The sequence below is a fragment of the Homo sapiens genome, chromosome 9, assembly GCF_000001405.40.
Source record: "Homo sapiens chromosome 9, GRCh38.p14 Primary Assembly".
Lineage (NCBI taxonomy): Eukaryota > Metazoa > Chordata > Mammalia > Primates > Hominidae > Homo > Homo sapiens.
In genome coordinates this window covers 88,319,191-88,326,376 of record NC_000009.12, presented here as the reverse complement: position 1 = coordinate 88,326,376, position 7,186 = coordinate 88,319,191, and the positions used below count along the sequence as shown (strand labels likewise).

At 47.8% G+C, this 7,186-nt stretch overlaps 1 pseudogene; it reads right to left on the bottom strand.

Annotated features, from left to right (window-relative positions):
* Positions 967-1,996, bottom strand: RPSAP49 (ribosomal protein SA pseudogene 49; annotated as a pseudogene).

Sequence of the window (7,186 nt, the reverse complement as noted above, 5' to 3'; positions counted from 1 at the left end):
GAAGCACTTCCCAGTCTTGTCGCATGACGGTGCACAGTGGACGTGGCACCGCATGGTGTGGCACACAGGAATCAGTGGACGGAGGAGCTGCTCCCAGCAGGAGGGGCCGATCCCTGGCTGTTCCAGCTGCTCCTGGCCCTGCTCAGACATCCTGAGGACTGAGACTCTAAACCCGGCAGGTCTGCATTCATCTCACAGCACACGAAGAGCTCCAAGTCGGTAAGCTCTGCCCCCAGGGAATGAACCTGACAGGAAAATTACTGAGCCTAGGGACAGTCAGCTCCATGAATTATCATCAAGATGTTCTTCAAAGTGGTTGTAGTAATTCATACTCTCAATGCCTCTTTCATTCTTTTTTGTTTGTTTGTTTGAAACAAGGGATTCGCTATGTTGGCCAAGCTGGCCTCAAACTCCTGTCCTCAAGTGATCCTCCCATCTTGGTCTCTTAAGTAGCTGGGATTACAGTTGTGAGCCACCATGCCTGGTCCAATGCCTCTTTCAATCTGAAGATTGTGTCTTTCTTCATTAGCTTTCTTCAGAAAAGTTAATTATTTATTTTTAAATTTTCTTTCCTTTTCTTTCTTTCTTTTTTTTTTTTTTTTGACAGAGTCTTACTCTTATCATCCAGTCTGGAGTGCTGTGGCACGAATTCGGTTCACTGCAATCTCCACCTCCCAGGTTCAAGCGATTCTCCTGCCTCAGCCTCCTGAGAAGCTGGGATTACAGGTGTGCACCACTAGGCTTGGCTAGTTTTTGTATTTTTAATAGAGACGGGGGTTTCACCATGTTGGCCAGTCCGGTCTCGAACTCCCGACCTCAGGTGATCTGCCTGCCTCAGCCTCCCAAAGTGCTGGGATTACAGGCTTGAGCCACTGAGCCGGGACTATTTATTTTATAATTTTCTATCCTTCATTTTATGTTCTGTTTCTTTCTTTCTGTCTCTCTTCTTTACTTTTTTTTTTTTTTTTTTGGAAACTGATGTTTATTTTCCATCAACTTTATTTCCATGTTGCTTAAGGGCCTGTGCAAGAAGTGCTTAAGACCAATCAGTGGTTGCTGCTACCCACTCAGTGGCCTGAGCAGTGGGAGCTGCAGACTAGACTTCCGTGGCAGGCTGAGCACTCCAGTCTTTAGTAGGGAACTGTGAATAGGCACAGAGGGCACCTGCATACCTTCAAACCAGTCTGCAATCTCAGGCTGAGTAGCAGTGAACTCAGGAGCTAGAGCAGTCCACTCACCCTGAAATTCCTCCTTGGTCACAGCCTTTTCAGCAGCAGCCTGCTCTTCTTTTTCAATCTCTTCAGGATCTCTGTAGAAGTAGAGATCAGGCATGACCTCCCACGGGTGTTCACAGGAAATGGTGCCACGCATGTGCAGAACTTCCCGAGCTGGCATCCACCATATCTGACCCACTGAGGGAGCTCCCTTGTTGTTGCATGGGATGGCAATGTCCACACAGTGCAGAGGAGAATCTGTGTTACACAGAGCGATGGTAGGTAGGTTAACATAAGATGCCTCCGTGAGAGGCTGGTGGTCAGCCCTGGGGTCGGTAACCACAAGAAGCCGTGGCTCCCGGAAGGTTGCCTGGATCTGGTTAGTGAAGGTTGCAGGAGTGAAGCGGCCAGCAATTGGAGTGGCTCCAGTGGCAGCAGCAAACTTCAGCACGGCCCTCTGGCCAGTATTCCTGGAGAATATGACACTGACATCAGCAGGGTATTCAATGGCAACAATGGCATGAGCTGCCAGCAGAAGCTTCTCCCAGGTCCTCTTCAGATTTGTGATGTAGGTGCCATAACTTTTCCTTTTATAGATGTACTGTTTCATCTGGAAGTCAAGATTGGTGCCACCTAAGTGGGTTCCTGCTGCAAGGAACTTAAGGACATCCTTCTTCTTCATTTGCAGGACATCAAGGGCTCCGCACATTGTGAAAGTTTTCCTTGAAGTTACGATGGGAATCCAGAACGCCGTATGGACCCCTCTGTGGGTAGCGCAGAAATAATTTTTGTATTTTCAGTAGAGACGGGGTTTCACCATGTTGGCCAGGCTGGTTGTGAACTCCTGACCTCGTGATCTGCCGTCCTCCGCCTCCCAAAGTGTTGGGATTACAGGCGTGAGCCACCACGCCCAGCCTCTTCTTTCCTTCTTTTCCTCTTTCTGGAATTCCTACTGGGTAGGTGTTGTACCTCTGTATTAATCATCTATATCTCTTATTGTTTCTGGCCTATTTTCTGTTTCCTGTTCTCTTTATTCTCTGTGACCTCCTAAACATTATTGTCCACCCATATTTATTATTTTACATTTTGTGAACCATAATTTTAATTTCCAGAGGCTTTTACTGTGGTTCTTCTCACAGGGCTTATTTTTCACTGTGTCATGTTCTTGTTTTATTGTTTTATGGATGGAATATTTTCTAAAATCTCTCTGGGGATGCTGATCAAAGAAGTTCTGTTCTTTCATGTTCTTTGTTTTATGTTCTTTTTTCTTTGTGAGACGGCGTCTCAGTGCAACCTCCACCTCATGGGTTCAAGCGATTCTCCTGCCTCAGCCTCCTGAGTAGCTGGGATTACAGGCGTCTGCCACCATGCCCAGCTAATTTTTGTATTTTTAGTAAAGACAGGATTTCACCACGTTGGCCAGGCTGGTCTCAATCTCCTGAACTCGTGATCTGCCCGCCTCGTCCTCCCAAAGTACTGGGATGACAGGCCTGAGCCACCGTGCCAGGCCTGTTTTATGTTCTTATGTTCTCTGAATTCTCTCTGTGTTCTTTGAGGTTAAACTTCTATCTTTGTCTTTCTCTCTCTTTTGGAATCCTCATTGCTTTCTTTCATACCACAGGTTTTCTCTAATTCTGCAGCGAGCCTCTGTTAAGCTTTTATATTTGAGAATGAGGGACTATAAAAGCTGACAGAAACTCTGGGACATGAACAGGGACTGCTGCCTTTAGATCACCCTTTGTGGGGAGGCCTTTACTCTGGTCATGCACACCAGCTGCTCAAGTCCCTCCAGACTGTGCACATGATTCTTTGCCTGGAGTCATTACCTGGCTGGATGTCCTCACAGTTCTGTGCATGGGGTGGGGTGGGGATGGGGGTGTTGACTGTTCTACACACAGGTCTTCAATCCTGATTGATTTTCAGCCCTACTGGACTCTCCTGCCTCTAACTGTGGAGCCCTGGCCCCATCCCAGACTCTACAGAGCACAGTAGTTTCTTCCATGGCTCCACCCTCCATCATCCCATCCCACCAGTAGCTGCTTGTCTAGCTGTGGCTTCCTCTGAGTTGTGGTTTCCTCTGCTATTTCCTCCAGCAACGTTCTTCACTCTGGGTTCAGTGTTGCGGAAATGGTCTGTCGTCTTCCCTCTGCAGATGTCATCATCAGCATTGTCCTCATTCTATTTGTGGGTTTTTTTTACACCTGTCCCATTCCTTCACTTGTGTGCTGTTGCTGGAACCTATGGGAGGCTCCTAGCCTATGACAAACCAGGCACAAAGGTCCAAAGAAACTACAGAGCTAAGTGCAGAAACAGAAAGATTCTGATACAAGTGTTCTGATGTAAACATTTAACATATTGAATTGTTTGGGGCATTTGATCCAACTGCAAACACGTACATCCATGATTTAGTTGCTAAGACACATTCTGGCCCTATGCAGAATCTGTAAATGCCTTTCCTCCAACTCTGTAAAATTGAATCTGTGGGCCTGGCACAGTGGCTCACGCCTGTAATCCCAGCACTTTGGGAGGCCGAGGCAGACCGATCACCTGAGGTCAGGAGTTTGAGACCAGCCTGACCAACATGGAGAAATCCCGTCTCTACTAAAAATACAAAAATTGGCTCACGCCTGTAATCCCAGCACTTTGCGGGGGCCAAGGCGGGTGGATCACGAGGTCAGGAGATCGAGACCATCCTGGCTAACACGGTGAAACCCCGTCTCTACTAAAAATACAAAAAAAAAAAAAAATTAGCCGGGTGTGGTGGCCGGTGCCTGTAGTCCCAGCTACTCAGGAGGCCGAGGCAGGAGAATGGTATGAACCCGGGAGGCAGAGCTTGCAGTGAGCTGAGATCGCACCACTGCAACTCCAGCCTGGGTGACAGAGTGAGACTCTGTCTCAAAAAAAAACAAAAACAAAAACAAACAAATGAAAAAAAACAAAATTAGCCGGGCGTGGTGGCACATGCCTGTAATACCAGCTACTCGGGAGGCTGAGGCAGAAGAATTGCTTGAACCCAGGAGGCGGAGGTTGTGGTGAGCCAAGACTGCACCATTGCACTCCAGCCTGAGCAACAAGAGTGAAAATCCGTCTCAAAAAAAAAAAAAAAAATTTGAATCTGCGACCTCAGAGATTCAGTGTTCTAAATCGCTGCCTGTTTTAGAAACCAGCCTGTGTGGCTGAGGCCCTACAGCATGTGATCCTGTCCACATCTGTCATGAGTAGCACAAGGTCAGACATAACCAGATCCATGCAAGTTGGTGTCTTTCCACAAGGCTGGACTTTTATTGATGCTATTTCAGTTATAAAAGCCATGAACTACATGAAGTTCCCACAGAGGCAATTCTCCTTAGTACATCCCATTTACTCAGTAGTCAGAGCCTTGGGCACACAGGCTGAAACCCCTCCACAGGTCAGTCAATACTGCAAACCATACATTAGAGTATACTTAATCAATATATAAATATTGCAGATTAAACATTCCACATCAAACAAAACAACATTTAACATCAAGAGTAAAGGGGAGGCCAGGCACGATGGCTCACGCCTGTAATCCCAACACTATGCGAGGCTGAGGTGGGTAGATCACTTGAGGCCCGGAGTTTGAGACCAGCCTGGCCAATATGGTGAAACCCTATCTCTACTAAAAATACAAAAATTAGCCGGATGTGGCGGTCCAAGTCTGTAGTCCCAGCTACTTGGGAGGCCGAGGCATGAGAATCACTTGAATCTGGGAGGCAGAGGTTGCAGTGAGCCAAGATTTCACCACTGCACTTCAGCCTGGGTGACAGAGAGAAACTCTGTTTCAGAAAAAAAAAAAAAAGAGTAGAGGGGATAGGAAGAGAGTTTCACAAACCAGTCCAAGGAGAGCAATATGGACAGTGTCCTCAGCTGGTCCGGGCACTTGTCAACATCTTGCAAGAAAGAGTTTTTGATGCAGGCCGAGCCTTCAGTGGCAGATGCTGGGCACCGATCACCAGTGACAGCAAGACAGTGTCTGTTAAGACGGCCATTTTGAGCTCATGACGTTCTGCATGTTTTATGGCCACAGAGTCCTCTGGTGAGGACTGATGGTAAAAGAGTGTGCCTGTTTATGTCCTGGTCTGGTTGGGTGCCATCTTTATTAATTAGGTGAACCTCTGGTCCTTGTTGGTGTGGTGCCTTCCGAAATGTAAGATGGAGTCTTTTTCTAAGATGGAGTCACTTATGTCAAGCATGCTCCATACACCCTCTCTCCTGGCGCCGATGGCACTGCCCTGGAGCCCGCTGGAATCGGGGCTGTGGTAGCTTGTGATATGCGGGTGTGGCATTGTGGCCAGCCACCCAGGCTTCATTTTCTGCTGTGCTGGTTTCCCTGACAGCATTTACTGCCAAGCTGCTGGGACCCCTAACTATATCCTGTCACTTGGGCCTTTCATTGAATGACAAATGGCCCAGGGACTTAGTAGTTTAAGATGACAACCATCATTTCATATGTGCAAACTTCTGTAGGTCCAGAGTTGGGCAGGGCTCAGCCAGGTTAGTTTTGCTGCAGGTGATGTCAGTTGGCAGATGGGCTGGGGGCGGGGACCCCTGGGGCTGGCCCAGGCAGGATGGCTAAAGCAGTTGAAGGCTGGACAGACGTCTCTCTTATTCCAAGTGGTCTCTTTCTCAGGGAGCCTTGTCTCTGTGTGGTGCTTAGGGCCATGCTTGTACTAGGGAGGAGTGCACAACGGTGAAGGAGGCAGAAGGAGGATGAGGAGCTGCAGGCTGCCCCTGGCCCAGTCTTGGTAGCCACACCAAGGGACTCCTGCTGCGTGCTCTTGGTCAAAGCCTGTCTTGGGCCAGCCCAATGCAAAGGGAGGGAAGTCCATTCCACCTCTTGGTGGAGGAGGGGCAAGTCACTCGGCAGAAGGGCAGCTGGGGTGGGGATGTTGCTGCAACTTTCTCTGGAAACATAGCCTACACCCTGGGCCCCAGCATGGTCTCTTTCCCTGGGGACAGCCTCTACCCTGGTGAACTCAGTGACCAGTGGCTGAGTCCAGATGCTGGCCTTGGTTACTTGGAGGTGGCTTTGTCTAGGATAAGGAATGTGGCTATGCCTCACCAAGTCCTGAAACAACGGAAATGCCTTTCAAATCATCAAATAAATATTTAGACAGTGTTGTCCTTATCTAATGTTTTTTTCCCCATAAAGAAAAATGATTATTGCAAAGATTTTGTTTTGGTAAGCATTTTCCTGTAGGATTGTGCTCCAAGAGTTACTGTCAGTTTCACTGTTCTTTACTTTTCCCTAGTAGGAGTATAGCGAATGCTACCTGGAACAGGTGCCAATGTTATTTGAAATAAAAAGTATGCAATTTGGTATCTATTCGCCCAAGCTGGAGGTATCAGGGGACTTTAAAACAGAGATGGGCATATAAGAAATAACATTGCTTATTACAACCAGAAATGTACACTACATACCCCTCCAGAAAAAAAAAAGGTCAGAGACATGTATAGAAATAAGTCCTTTCCTTTTTTTTTTCTTTTCTTTTTTTTTTTTTTTTTTGAGAATGAGTCTCGCTCTATCGCCCAGGCTGGAGTGCAGTGGTGCGATCTCGGCTCACTGCAACCTCTGCCTCCCAGGTTCAAGCGATTCTCTCCTGCCTCAGCCTCCCAAGTAGCTAGGATTATAGGCATGTGCCACCACGCCCAGCCAATTTTTGTATTTTTAGTAGAGATGGGGTTTCGCCATGTTGGCCAGGCTGGTCTCGAACTCCTGACCTCAAGTGATCCGCCCGCCTTGGCCTCCCAAAGTGCTGGGATTATAGGTGTGAGCCACCTTACCTGGCCAATCCTTTTATTTTCTATGAAAAATGATGACAGGCAAATGCAAGAGCATGGTGAGCCAGCAGAGCATGGGGAAGACCTCCATCCATTAGGTGAGAAGGCCTGGGGAGAGGATCTGTCCCTTCGGGTGGGTGCTAGACAGAAGACATCCACATTCCTACTTC